Genomic DNA, 14,884 nt, shown 5'->3' on the forward strand with positions numbered 1-14,884 from the left:
TTTATGTTTCTTATCTGTCTCCTCCCTATACAATATAAGCTCTCTCTTGTTCCTTGCTATGTTGCTGACACATAAAAGAGTGCCTGGTCTGCCACAGTAGATGTTCGAACACATCTGTTAGATAAATAATGATCACAGATAATAGTTACTTGTATATTTTTCTTTCTCTCCAACCAGACTATGTCTCTATTGAGGCAGGGTCCTTGCCTTGCTCACGTCTGTATCTACAGCATCCAGAGGTGCCTTGTTGCAAACTATCAAGTGGCAGAGCTAACACACACCTGTACACTGAGTGCAGTGGCTCACGCTGTAATCCCAGCACTTTGGGTGGCCAAGGCAGGAGGATCGCTTGAGGCCGGGAGTTTGAGACCAGCCTGGGCAACATTGCGAGACCCTGTCTCTACAAAACAAGTAAAAAAATCAGCTGGGTGTGGTGGTATGCACCAATAGTCCCAGCTACTCAGGAAGCTGAGGTGTGAGGATGGCTTTAGTCCAGGAATTCAAGGTTAACAGTGAGCTATGATCATACCACTGCACTCCAGCCTGGGTGACAGAGTAAGATCCTGTCTCAAAAACAAACAATAAACAAACAACCACCCCCCTCCCCCACCGCCACCACACACACACACCTGTTAAAGTAAAAGGGCCTAATATTTAACTCTCTCCGGCAAAGGCTAAGAATCTCCTCCCATTTGCCTTCATTCTGGGTCCCGGGCCTAAAAAGTCAAAGTACACTTTGTCTGGCCTGGCCTAGTCCAGCCCCTTTTGGAGCAGAGATTCTAGCATATTGTCTTTTCAAGCTTATAGTTGGGCACTGGGGAGAGGTATGCTAGAGCCAGCAGGGGCTGCTTAGAGTCACAGAAATCCCAGTGGCTTTTTGGAGGTGTTAACAGATGGAAAGTTGGAGGGGGCTCTGTGAGCCAGTCACTTCTCCCTGTCTTAAAAGTCTACTGTGATGCTAAGAGAGAAACCAAGTGCAGAGAGGCTCTGGAGAACAGAGAGAAGATATGGGGAGAGAGTGTATATGCAAGAATGTGTCTTTCTTGGACCACCTTAGATAATTCCTCTAATCAGAGGCTAGATACCATATATACATACATACATGATATTATACACACATATATATGATAGTATATATAAATACACACATGCTACTGACTGAATATGTATCCCCTCAACATTCCCATGTTGAAATCCTACCCCTCCCTACCCACATGATAATATATATTAGGAGGTAGGACCTCTGGGCAGAGCCCTCATGAATGAGATTAGTACTCTCATCAAACACGGTGCAGAGAGCTCCCTTGCCCCTTTGGCTGTGCGAGGTTACAGTGAGAAGATGGCTGTCTATGAACCAGGAAGTGGGTCCTCATCAGACACCAAATCTGCTGGTGCCTTGATCTTGGACTTCCCAGTCTTCAGGACTGTGAGAAATAAATTACTGTTTATAAGCCACCCAGTTCATGGTACTTTGTTAGAGCAGCCCAAATGGACTAAGACGACCCACATATTTAATACTACTATATATTTATATGCTTGTCTGTCAGCCTACTCCCATTAGAATATAAACTCCATGAGGGCAGGTGGTAGGAAGTTGCTAATTTATATGGTGATTAGGAGAGATGTCTCCGAAATGATGAAATTTGAGCAAAGACCTTGAGGCAGAAGAGCAAATAGCACATGTAGGATTTAGCAGGAAGGCCAATGTATCAGAACAAAGTGAATGAGGGAGAAAGTGGTGTGAAATAACACTAAGAGGCATGGATGTGTGTGTTGAGGAAGAGGAGGGAAGTGGCAGTGAAGATAACAGAGGACCCTGTACACCATGGAAAACCACTGGCTTTTCTGAGTGAAATAGGTAGGTTTTGAGCACAGGAGTTACATGAACCAACTTGCAATAAGAAGGATCACTCTCATTGTCTATGTTGGTAACAGACTTCAGGGGGACATGGAGAGGCCAGTTAAGAAGGAGGCTACTGGCCAGGCATGGTGGATCATGCCTGTAATCGCAGCACTTTGGGAGGCCGAGGTGGGCAAATCACGAGGTCAGGAGTTCAAGGCCAGCCTGGCCAACATGGTGAAACCCCGTCTCTACTAAAAATACAAAAAATTAGCAGGGCGTAGTGGCAGGCACCTGTAATCCCAGCTACTCGGGAGGCTGAGGCAGGAGAATTGCTTGAACCCAAGAGGCGGAGGTTGCAGTGAGCCGAGATTGCGCCACTGCATTCCAGCCTGGGCGACAGAGTGAGACTCTGTCTCAAAAAAAAAAAAAAAAAGACAGAGGCTATTAGGCCAGGCACAGTGGCTCATGCCTATAATCCCAGCACTCTGGGAGGCTGAGGCAGGCAGACTGCTTGAGCCCAGGAATTTGAGACCAGCCTGGGCAACATGGTGAAACTCTGTCTCTGCAAAAAATTAGCTAGGTGTGGTGGTGCATGCCTGCAGTCCCAACTACTTGGAAGGTAGCTTGAGAGGAAGATCGCTTGAGCCCAGGAGGCTGAGGTTGCAATGAGCCATGATTGAGCCACTGTACTCCAGCCTGGGTGACACAGTGAGAGACACTATTAAAAAAAAAAAAAGGAGGCCATTATGATAAGCCAGGCAAGAGACCACTGTGGCATGAACTACCAGGGTGGCAGTGGTAAAAAGGTGACCTGATATATCAACAATATTCTATAAAGAACCCCCACCATTGTCAACTCATTTGACCTTTAAAATAGCCCTTGAAGGAGGCGTTATCACCATCTTTAGTTCAGAGGGGAGGGGTGAAAAGAGAGAGGAAGTGACTTGCCCTGTCTTTTCCTATTCCCTCTGCAGACAGCCTATGGCAAAGCTCTCCCCATCGCCCCTCAATGTGTACGGCTGGCACTTACTCTTCAAGGAGGGCTTGTTGTCTCAGTCTGAGCATGACTAAGGCAGTTGAGGCACATCCACAAGAGGCCAACTAACAAGCTCATGCCTAATCATCCTGGTTAATGCAGTAAGAGAGGAAACAGACTCAACATCCAAATTCTTTAAGACAAATAATTCTAGGGCCAGCCGAATGAATCTTTTCATAGCCTTATGAAGACCATCAGGCTGTAAAGAGATTTATACAATGACCTGGCAGACAGACTCATGGTGGGTTTCCAAGGAAAATTGGAGATGCTTAGGGAACAACAGTACCATCTGAGGCCAGTGCCAGGAGGGCAGCCTATCACAAAGTACTCTTCTCAGAAACAGGGCCTTGGGGAAGATAAAAATAACAGTAACTCCCCTCATACCTGGGGAACGATTTAGTTTCCAAAATGATTCCATATCCCTTCTTTCATTTGATCCTTTTAACACTCCTGTGGAAAGACCAGGTTGGTGTCACCATCTCCAGTTTGCACATGAGGAACATTCTGCATATGAGGAAGACCTGAGAGGTGAGATGACTGACTCAAGTCTCAAAGCAAGGGAGCCGAGGCTAGAATCAGCGCTCAGCTCTGCCTCTCTACTTGAGAGCCCTTTAGATTCCATTTTGCTGCCCTGCTCGGGTTGGGGTGGGGGGAGGGGCACCACAGGCTTCTTCCCATGATTCAGCCTTCCTGAAAGCTCTCTCCGCTGAGGTGACTTTTTTTCTTTTCTTTTCTTTTTTTTTTTTTGAGACGGAGTCTCACTCTGTCCCCCAGGCTGGAGTGCAGTGGCGTGATCTCGGCTCACTGCAAACTCGGCCTCCTGGGTTCACACCATTCTCCTGTCTCAGCCTCCTGAGTAGCTGGGACTACAGGTGCCCACTACCACGTCCGGCTAATTTTTTGTATTTTCAATAGAGACAGGGTTTCACCATGTTGACCAGGATAGTCTTGATCTCTTGACCTCGTGATCCACCCTCCTCGGCCTCCCAAAGTGCTGGGATTACAGGCATAAGCCACCGTGCCCGGCCGAGGTGACTTTTTTTCATTGCAGGCTCTGCTAATGGAGTCTTCCTATACTTTCACACCTCACTCATGCGTCCCTGGGCTGGAGGAGGCTGGAATCAGGGTGTGGAAGTGACATTCTCCTGGCTCCCCACTGCTGCTTCTAGACCATCCTCCTATGAAAGCTCATGTTCTTCAGAGGCCAAACATGTACCCAACCATTGGCTCTTCCTTCTCACTGTTACTCATAGATATCTGGGTTTCTGCCCCTTGGTAAATGAAGACTTTTTGTTACTTAGCTCACTACCCACTGTTCCACCCCAACTCCTGCTCTAATCCTTGGAGGCAATCCAGCTACCATGCCTCCAGTGACTCTCACCTCCATTCTACTCCAAATACCTACTGCCAACACCACTGTCTGATTCTTGCAATCCCTTGGAATAAATCCACTTCAGAATTTTAAGCATCCCATTCTCTGACCCCAACCTTCCATCTTTTCAGCTCTCTTGGGACGTATGTCCACTGTAACCATTATATCACAAAGTTCTTTGGCATGTCAAACTTTCCATTTTCCCTATCCTGATTTAGCCTTGCATCCTTCCTACCCTGACTGCCTTCCCAGATGTAGTGGTTGATGACTTAAACTGCTCTTCCTGATTCCTGATTTCTTTACATACTCTCCCCCTTCCTCCCAGCTCTTGCTCTACTAGCTCAGCAAAAAAGCCCTTAATTCTCAAGCTGTCTTTTCTCATCCCATACCTACTAGGTTGCTAAGAATCACAGAAGAAAACCATAGCTTGTGCAAACTGGCCAACTAGTCTCCAAGCATAGTTGGGCCCTGAGGTTTCCTGCAAATCATCCCCTTTTCTTTGGTCCATTTTTCCCCATCTTCTTTAAGACTAGTCCAGTCTATCAGCGCTCCTAACCCCTTCCCTGACCAGGCCTTTCTCTATTCACTGATGGACACACTCAATCTTCCCTCCTCTCTCAGAGAAAGTGTGCCTCCTTTTGGCTTAAGACTGATGCCTCTGCCTATGCCCTTGATCCCACCACTCCTGAAGCCTAACTTTCTCCTCTTTCCTATATTCTTAATTGCTACTTTTTGGAAGGTGCAAGCTGTCTGCTGACATACGTGCTTGAAGGGCTCCCATTCTGAAAGATCTTCTTTGACTTAGAGTCCTACTCATCACCAGCCTTTTTTTTCTCATCAAAGTCCCCAGCACAATCTGCCTTCACCCCTCCACCACAGCACCAAGGCTGCTTTCGCTAAGATCCACCAATTACCCACTAATGGTGGAATCCAATAGATGTTTCTCAGTCCCTTTTTTGCCAGAACTTTGTTATGCTGTGCTCTCCTTCAAATACTCTCTGTAGTCCTGGCCACCACAATATCAAATTCTTCTCACTTTGAATTTTCTAAATTTTCCCTCACTTTGAATATTCCTTTTTCTCCTTGGTGGGCTCACCTTCCCGTTCTCACCTCCTAAGCTTTGTTGGTTCCCAGGACTTCATCTTTGGTTAACTGTTATTTTCATTCACTACATACTTCTGAGAAGTGAGTATCATTCACCCTAAAATTTCAACTGCTGTTTATACACTGGTGACTCCTAAATATTTAACTTCAGCCCAGCACTCTTCCCTGAGGATTGGATCTGCATAGCCACTGCCTGTTAGATGTCATCTATATGACCATGGGCTCCCCCACCTTCCTTCTCTTCTATGGTGGGTTCCCTCTCTCAGTGGATGGCACCACCATCTATCTGGCCACATCTAGAAACCTGGGAGACAGTCCTCACTCCCTTCTTCCTCACATCTGATTAAATCCTCAAATCTGATTAAATTTGCCTTGTGAACAGTTTTCAAATCCACTCTCTCTTCTCCAAACCTTCTGTCTCTGCCCTAACCCAGGCCTTTGTCACTTCAGATCTGGCCCACTCGAGTAACCTCCTAACTTGTTTAGGTTTCTCTAGTTTTGTCCCTCCTCAAATCCATGCTCAACACAGTAGTCAATAATCTATTCAAAACAAAAACCTGTCTTGCCTCTAATTAAACGCCCATTTAAGGTCTTCTATGATATATGCCTTGACCTTTCCAGGCTTTTCTCTTTGAGTCTCAGTATTACATTTTATGGTTGAGCAATTCCAAATTGCATGCAGTTCCTGGTATAATCAGTGCTATTTCTTATTCTTTTGCCCTTATTCATGTTGCCCCTCTTCCTGGAAAGCTCTCCCTCCTCTACCAGCCCTGATATGGCCATTTATACAGTCTCAGGCAAGGCATCATTCCCTTAAGAAAGTGTCCCTTGAACACCAAGCTTGGGTTAGGTATTCCTTCTTGTAATTTTCATATTACCCAAAGCATATGTCTGTCACTGCACTCAAGACATTGTTTAATAATTATCTGTTTACGTGTCTCTCTCACCATAATACCTTGAAGATAAAAAGTGACTGATTTTTGCTTCCCCATGCCAAACACAAATGGAGTTCAAATAAATAGTTAATGGATGAATGAGTGAATGAATCCTTCCCTGTCCCTTTTGGGTCTAGGTCTTTGGCTCTTAGTTTCTGTTATGCTCAAGCCAATCCTGGAGCTCCAATTACCTCCCAGGTGCAAGGCCAGGCACAAGAGTAAGTCCAGTCCCTAGTCCCACCACCAGGCAGAGGGCAACAGAGCTAGGTCCTCTCTGGCCTCCCAGAGCTCAGGAAGGAAGTGAAGGAAAGAGTGAGGGAGGGAAGGAGGGCCAGGACTCTGGTAAGCTTACCCCTGGAGCATAGCCTGCGCACAGCTGAGGCAGTGCTTGGTGGGAGGCCACAGGATGAAAGCAAGGGCCGGTGCCTTTGGGAGGTGCTGACAAGGTTGGTGGGATTTGAGGCAGAGTCCATTGAGTCTGAGTGTGGTTCCAAGGAGCGGGCCAGACTATTCCCCAGGACAAAGGTTTCACCTGAAAAACAGTAAAACCAGAGTTAGAGCTTAGAAGGACTGCCAGAGTGCTGGCTCCCAGATACCTGTTTGAGTGGAGCAAGCAGCAACAACAGAGAAAGCCCTGGGCAGGGACTCAGGAGGCCTGTGTACCAGTCATGGTTGTGGCTGTCATGAGGTGACCTTAGTCAAGCTCAGTGCCACTCTCTGGACTTTGGTCTCTTTAGAAATTCTTTCTCTTAGACTAGATGGTCTTTGAGGCTTTTTCTGGTCTAGATGCCCTATGCTTTTTCTTGATAAGGAACATCTTAAACAAATGGAGCTATTCTAGGATGGAAGATACTGCCTTAGACACAACATGCTAGAGCTGGGACACATTGCTTAGATGAAGGTACTTTAAAAGGTGACCCTCTGCTCAACCATCTGGACATGTCAGAAATGCTTCTTGATGCTTGGTTAAAGGCTTGTTTGTAAAGAATCTGCTCCTATGTTCCATCTCTCATTTTGTATTTGCCCTATTCTACAGAAACACTTCAAGGAAGCTGGGGTTGATGAGCGGTGAGCTTGGGCATGGAGATGAGAATCGGGTATAATCTGGCTCTGCCACTCAGCAGAGTGCTTCTCGGAGCATGTTAGTCTCCTCATCTACAACATGGGAAGCCCCTTTCTTCCAAGGAGTTTGTGAATATCACAAAAGAATGGCTATGAAAGTCTTTCCTTGTAAAGGGAATCTTACCGTGATGTTTCTATACCCAGTCCATGGCCCAACACCAGGCGGCAGCACCCAATCACTGTACAAAGAACCCGAAGCAGATTCCTCATGACTGGGTTCTACCCAAACCAAATCAGTTCCTCAGCCTAGGCCACAGCTTCTCTGCTTGTGGAGGGTGTCTTGAGTACTGGAGCATAACACTGTCCTTTATCATTTTTCAAAGACATCAAGTGTTTAGGTAATGCTTGGGATTCATTCGGAGCCTCTGATGAACACTAAATTTGAGCACATGGTTTGGCACACAGTAAGGCCTCAATGTTAAGATGGTTTAGGATTTTAGGACTGCTTTCTAATACTTACCTAAAATTGCTTGGCAACTATGAGCTCAAAGTAAAATCTAGGATTAGACAGCTATTTACCTTTATATCAAGGAGGCTAATTGTTGAAACCCTTTCCTAGAAGTGGTTCTGAAAAGATAAGTCTGAGGGTCCATAATACCTAAGCCATATCCCACCTCCTTCTGCAGATGAGGGTTCTGTCTCCTATTTTCCAGGAAAAATGACTAACAGGGTCCCATTTTGAGACATGAATGGGAATCCAATCCAGGATATAGGAGACCTGGGTTCTATACCTGGGCTCCTGCCTTTCACTAGGTATGTGATTCTAGACAAGTAGCTTGTCTTCTCTAAGCACCAGTTTCTTCATGTGTAAAATGGGGAAAAATCATCCCCTATCATGCTGAGAACATCAAATGAGAAAATGGAATGGGAGGAACTTTATGAATGTGAAAAATTGTTATTTTGTATTTCATTCGGAGTTGAAGTGGCAAATCTAAGCTGTCTGTGATAGTACAAGAAAAATATTTCATCCAGTTTCAGCATTTATCAGCAGGGTAACCTCACTCTTCTAGTTCTCATTTTATTCAGCTAAGACTGGGGATAGTATTGTCTGCCTCACATGAGCTAACAGATGTGAAGAATAATTATGATGACAAAGCCAGAGGCTTACCAGATGCTGATGCAAACCATTGAGTGTCTCTTCCTTTCAGCAATGCTAAGAACACTGAGACGTAGATTCTGAGTTGAAGGGTCTGAAAATCTGGACTGATGGCAAGTCATGAAATCTTATCCTAATGAGATGTACTGAAAGCATCATGCTCCAAAGCTCTGGGGGGTCCTAGTCCTGACAAGGCTGATCAGACGAGGCTCTCTTTGGTAGGACAGTGCCAGAAAAGAAGATTGCAAATACTTTTTTTTTTTTTTGAGACAGAGTCTCACTCTATCACCCAGGCTGGAATACAGTGGCACAACTCACTGCACTCCTCTGCAACCTCCACCTCCTGGGTTCAAGCAATTCTTGTGCCTCAGCCTCCCAAGTAGTGCATGCCATCATGCCCCACTGATTTTTTTTTTTTGTATTTTTAGCAGAGATGGGATTTTGCCATGTTGGCCAGGCTAGTCTTGAACTCCTGGCTTCAAGTGATCTGCCCACCTCGGTCTCCCAAAGTGTTGGGATCACAGGTGTGAGCAACCACACCTGGCCTGAAGACTGCAATACTTTCAAACTGTGTTCTACAGAGCCCTGTGGAACCTCCACAGGGAGGCCAAGTAAATAGGGTTATGGGCCTCATCCAAGCTTCTATCAAAACTACTCTGGTTTTAATTTTTATGCACTGGAGTGTATACAAATTTTATATATAATTTTACCTTTGCCAAAAAACTTTTTTTTTTTTTTAAAAAAAGGAGTTCTACTGGTAAAACAAAACAAACTTTGAAATCACTGGTGCAGGTGTCAAAGACTGGGGCTGGAAGACTTGATTAGTCAATGATCACTGCCTTTTTACAGGATTCCTTTGCCCATCTATAAAATGGAGAGGAAAAATGCTTAAACTTCCTAGGGTCAATGTAAAATATACTATTGATATGCTGCAGATATGGGAGCAACTGGGATCAAACAAACATTTGTTGAGCACCCTTTGTGTGTGTGACAGCCACTATACTAGTTATGGTACATGCAGAGGTAAACAAATAGATAAGGACCTAGCCCTTATGCATGTATTTTCAGTGAGAAGCAGCTCTTCTCAGAGTATCACATTGCAAAGCTGACCTTAAAAATTAGAGTTCCCAGTGGAGGATGATCAGAGTGGTGGTGAGGAACCTCAAGATCATGGCAAAGGGGAAAGGCAACGGGAAGGCATCGTCCGGAGAAAAGTCAAGGGAGAGAAACACCCTAAGGGCAGTCATGGGAAAAGAAGAAGATTGGAGGTAGATTTGCTCTTTTGGAATACAGAGAGTAGAATGGGGGCAGGAGTTGTAAGAAGGCAGATTTCAGCTTTAAAAGGAGGGCATTTTGGCTGGGCATGGTGGCTCATGCCTGTAATCCCAGCACTTTGGGAGGCCGAGGTGGGTGGATCACCTGAGGTTGAGAGTTCGAGATCAGCCTGACCAACATGGAGAAACCCCGTCTCTACTAAAAATACAAAATTAGCCGGGCGTGGTGGTGCATGCCTGTAATCCCAGCTACTCGGGAGGCTGAGGTAGGAGAATCGCTTGAACCCGGGAGGTGGAGGTTGCAGTGAGCTGAGATCGTGCCATTGCACTCCAGCCTGGGCAACGAGAGTGAAAGTCTGTCTCAAAACAAAAAACAGAAAACAAAAAACAAAAACAAAACAACAACAAAAAAAGGAGGGCATTTTAGCAATCAGAACTGCCCAACAATAAAATCAATTGCCAAAGATAGAGAGAACCTGTCATCAGGAATATTTAAGCAGAGGTCAGATGACCACCCTCATGTGTTGGGCTAGATACTAGATTATCTCTAGAGTACTTTCCACTTCCAAGATACAAAGATTCCATGCTCATAACCGAGCTTTCCCCTTTATGGGTGTGAACTGAGTGACCAAGGAACTAGAGATGTTGATCTAAGAAAATTCTTACACCAACGCAGGACCCAAAGACATAGCATAGTCCTTGTGCATGTTTACATCACTCTCAGTGTTTAAAAAAAAAAAATCCCTCTCTGAACCACTTCCCACATCGTTTACTGCTCTTTCATTCAACAAATACTATTAATTACTTACCATATGACAGTTAGGATGATGGATACTGAGAATGGTGAAAAAGATATTGTCTCTATCCTCATGGAACATTTACTATAGTGAGGCAGATGACAAAATACAGGTAGCTAAAAATATTAGCAACTATTATAATTATAACAAAGGAAAGAAACAGGATATTAAGATGGACAGTATCAGGTGCATCTCTTTTGGATGAGGAGAGCCTTGGAGGTCTTCCTGACACCTTGAAGTTTAAGCTGTGGTCCCACGAAGGTCCACCTGAAAAGCGGACGTGTGCCAGACAGTGTGCTTCAGTGAATTATGAGCATTTGCGTCATCTTAAAACTCTGACAATTCTAGGCTGGAAACCTATGTGGGAATCAGAGCACATCCTGATATTTCAGTTTTTATTTGGCTTTAACCACTGTGAATCTTGGGATTTGGGCAGGAGAACCACTTTATAACTAACTCACAAGACCAGGATGACAACTGGAAAGAAAGGCACAAGGAACCAGTGTCATGGGCAATGAACCACTTCCTCTAACAGAGAGGAACCTGAGAATCCCAAAACAGCAGACTCAGAGTTTAATGCTGGGTAGATTTCAATTACAGCTAAACTTAATAGTCACTGGGACCAGTGAAATCAATACAATCTCCTGCTTAATACTGTCCTAACAATCTCCTGCCTCATACTGAGCCACTGCACCCGGCCGGGCCTCTTTTACTTAGTCTTCACAAGCCACTTACTTGATCTAGCCACATGTATAGTTCTGCTCTGACATCACCTCCCCCAGGAATCCTCCCTTGACCTCTTCTTTCACCATACTCCTGGCTCATCATGCCTTGCTGGGCCAGAGTACCTCTGTGCTCTGCTTTCACCACATACATGTTCATATTGTCCCTAATACTGAAGGTAGGGACAATATCTTTGTCACCATTCTCAGTATTTTTTAGGGTGCCAGAAGGGGCTTTTTTTTTTTGAGATGGAGTTTCGCTCTGTCATCCAGGCTGGAGTGCAATGGTGCGATCTCAGCTCACTGCAACCTCCGCCTCCCAGGTTCAAGCGATTCTCCTGCCTCAGCCTCCCAAGTAGCTGGGATTACAAGCATGCACCACCACGCCCAGCTAATTTTTGTATTATTAGTAGAGACAGGGTTTCACCATGTTAGCCAGGCTGGTCTCGAACTCCCGACCTCAGGTGATCCACTTTTGGCCTCCCAAAGTGCTGGGATTACAGGCATGAGCCACTGTGCCTGGCTGGGCCTCTTTTAGTTTTCACCAGCCTCTTATTTGATCCAGCCACATGCATAGTTCTGAAGAAGAGACTCTGCTCTGACATTGCCTCCCCCAGGAATCCTCCCTTGACTTCTTCTTTTACCATACTCCTTGCTCATCATGCTTTGCTGGGCCAGAGTACCTCTGTGCTCTGCTTTCACCACATACATGTTCACATATCTCTACCTGTCTCAGCTCTTTGAGCACAGGGATGGAGTCTGTCTCACCTCTGTCTCCCTAGAGTCTAGTATAGAATCGGGCACAGAGTAAGTATTTGTAAATATTTGATGACCTAAAGTAAAACAACTGGCCTGGATTATTCAAAATGCCAATGTCACGTCGTGAAAGATAGAAAAAAAAAGGTGGATAACTGTTCTAGATAAAGGAAACTAAAGAGACAGGAGAATTAAATGCAGTGGATGATCCTTTATTGAATCCCGGATTAGGAAACAACAGCTATAAAGGACATTAGTGTGACAACTAGGGGAAATTCTAATATGAACTACATAATAGCTAATAGTATATTAATTAATTTATTATTATTATTTTTCAGACGGAGTCTCACTCTGTTGCTCAGGCTGGAGTGCAGTGGCACAATCTTGGCTCACTGCAACCTCTGCCTCCTGGGTTCAAGCAATTCTCCTGCCTCAGCCTCCCGAGTAGCTGGAATTATAGGTGCACACCACCATGCCCAGCTAATTTTTGTATTTTTGGTACAGATAGGATTTCACCATGTTGGCCCAGCTGGTCTTGAACTCCTGACCTCAAGTGATCTGCCCACCTTGGCATCACACAGTGCCGGGATTACAGGCATGAGCCACCGCACCTGGCCTAGTAGTATTTTATTAATGTTAAATTTCATTAGTTTTTTTTTTTTTTGAGACAGAGTCTCGCTCTGTCGCCCAGGCTGGAGTGCAGTGGCGCAATCGCTGCTCACTGCAAGCTCCGCCTCCCGAGTTCACGCCATTCTCCTGCCTCAGCCTCCTGAGTAGCTGGGACTACAGGTGCCTGCCACCACGCCCGGCTAATTTTTTTTTTTTTTTTTGTATTTTTAGTAGAGATGGGGTTTCACCATGTTAGCCAGGATAGTCTTGATCTCCTGATCTCACGATCCACCCGCCTCAGGCTCTCAAAGTGCTGGGATTACAGGTGTGAGCCACCGCGCCTGGCCTCATTAGTTTTTATTTATGTTAAATTTCTTAATCATAATAATACTATTATGTTCCTTATTCTTAGGAGATAAACACAAAAGTATTTAAGGATAAAATCTCTCATCTGCAGTTAACTCTCAAATGGTTCAGTAAATAAATGAAAAACATTTTAAATATACAGGTATTCAACAAGTATGTATATTTATATGTGTATATATAGTTAGGAGAAACAGACGAAGTAAATACTGCAAAAAGTGGTAAAGATAGGCAAAGAGTTCATGGTTGCTTATTGTTCTATTTTTGTAACTTTTCTGTAGGTTTGAAATTTTTAAAATAAAACATTGGAGAAAAAAGTAGTAGTCTCAACTTAGGTAGGAAAGCTTAATGGGATATGAAATCTCCCTGAGCTTTGGGTGACTACCTGCTATATCGGAAGTGCATGGTCAGTTGGGCCAGGACTCTAAGTGGTAGGGTAGTGTGGAGACAAGGATATAGGAAAGGGGGAGGGCCAGTAAGCACCCAGATAACAGAGGTGGTACCTATGTATGTCTAGCAGAAGCGTGTAGCCAGGCAGAAGGGCAGGAGTCATAAATACCAGATCCAAAGGGCAAAGCAAAAGACAGCTCTTGTACAGATCGAGCTCTTTGGCAGAGGTTTAGGTAAGTAATCAGAAAAACACAGGAAATGATAATATCAGAGGTGGGGCAAAGGGTCAGTAAGGCAGGCAAGCAGGCAGGAAGGCAGGCAGGCAAGCAGGCAGAAAGGATACACTAAGAAGCACAGAGGAATTAGAAGTTTAGGCAAGGCTCTGGCTTGTCTGGGCATAGTTAAAGGCTAATTTCAGGGAAGCAAATAGAAACTAGAGTGAGAGCAGACAAGTTGCTGAGCACCCACGATGAGAAACAGCTTAAGAGCAGAGGAGGACACAAAAAGTGGGCTCAATCTGTCTGAAAATGGGGAAGGGAGAGGTAGCAGCTAATGGCAGAATGTGATACCTTGGTCTTTGTTTCTCTTAGTTGGTGAGGCAAGAAGAGTCTGGCTAAAGTTTGCTTCCTCTTATCTAGTGGCTGAATCAGAGAGATGTAAATTGGGGCAGAATTCCCAGGAAAGGTCATGCCCCGGTCCCAAACCACTTTTGGGACTGCAGGCCCATGAGGTACATCCTTACCAGTCTCTGAATGCTGCTACCAGTATGTTTCTCTCACTTCTTAATGATGGCATTCCATTTAAGAATTCGGAGTTCCTATTTCTTTGAGAAATCTCTTTTTAAACTAGCAGCTACATTCATGGATGTGCTAACCCCCATTCATGCATCCATTCTTTCAGAATCCCAGGTAGGCCTAACTTTCACGTCTGAAATGTAGATCAGAGTTCCTGAATGCCTAACTGGAGGTATTTAAAACTTGCCTTTGTCTGGACCAGCTCTACCATGCCCAGTCCAGACTCCCAGTGCAACATTCTAACTGCAAGTCAGAATGCCTTTTTCTTTTCTCAGAGACTCTGGTACTGAAAGAAAGCAATCTAGCATGGGTTAGGTGAGGAGAAGTTCCCTCCATAGAAAAGGATCAGCCAGGGGATCATAGAAATGGCTGCAGGGATCAGATGGTCTGGCCCCCACAGAGTATTTAAAATTCAGGTATCTTTTTGACCTGCTTGCAAGTCACATAAGCAATACGGATTTGGGTACAGAAGTATCTATGAGGGAAAGGGGGAAGGAGAATGGGGGAACAGTCACTTCCCTGGGCACATTCTCTAGAAGCAGTGCTTTTATCGGAGGTGATTCTGTTAAGACTATGATGAAAAGACACCAGGGAAGGCAGTGTGGGAACAAGACTTGTTTGTGTAGAGGAAGGTCGGAAAAGACACCTTTCAGACCTGTGCCCTCCCATCA

At 45.0% G+C, this 14,884-nt stretch overlaps 1 protein-coding gene and 1 long non-coding RNA gene across 43 annotated transcripts in view, besides 1 other annotated feature; one reads left to right on the forward strand and one right to left on the reverse strand.

Annotated features, from left to right (window-relative positions):
• The window catches only part of SLFNL1-AS1 (SLFNL1 antisense RNA 1), a 29,301-nt gene extending 16,130 nt beyond the window's left edge, over positions 1-13,171 (forward strand). The window contains exons 3-4 of the long non-coding RNA NR_037868.1: positions 7,327-7,358; positions 12,396-13,171. This is a non-coding gene — a long non-coding RNA (SLFNL1 antisense RNA 1). The remainder of the gene's footprint in view (positions 1-7,326; positions 7,359-12,395) is intronic.
• The window catches only part of SCMH1 (Scm polycomb group protein homolog 1), a 215,105-nt gene that overhangs the window by 3,518 nt on the left and 196,703 nt on the right, over positions 1-14,884 (reverse strand). For 19 of the 42 annotated variants that reach the window (NM_001394309.1, NM_001394301.1, NM_001394308.1 and 16 more), the window contains 2 exons: positions 6,643-6,822; positions 3,264-3,329 (listed from right to left, as the gene is read on the reverse strand). In NM_001394309.1, coding sequence (NP_001381238.1) covers positions 3,264-3,329; positions 6,643-6,822 — 246 coding nt within the window. Of the gene's footprint in view, positions 1-3,263; positions 3,401-6,642; positions 6,823-10,591; positions 10,847-14,884 lie in introns of those variants that run through there. The other 23 variants (NM_001172222.3, NM_001172220.2, XM_047449591.1 and 20 more) reach the window with 7 other exon arrangements.
• Positions 1,524-1,724: a silencer, noted in NCBI's record as "peak193 fragment used in MPRA reporter construct". NCBI's record gives its function as "represses an SCP1 promoter by STARR-seq MPRAs in K562 erythroleukemia cells {active_cell/tissue: K562}" and the evidence as "EXISTENCE:reporter gene assay evidence [ECO:0000049][PMID:32103011]".

This window comes from Homo sapiens, chromosome 1 (genome assembly GCF_000001405.40).
Source record: "Homo sapiens chromosome 1, GRCh38.p14 Primary Assembly".
In the NCBI taxonomy this organism is placed as follows: Eukaryota; Metazoa; Chordata; class Mammalia; order Primates; family Hominidae; genus Homo; species Homo sapiens.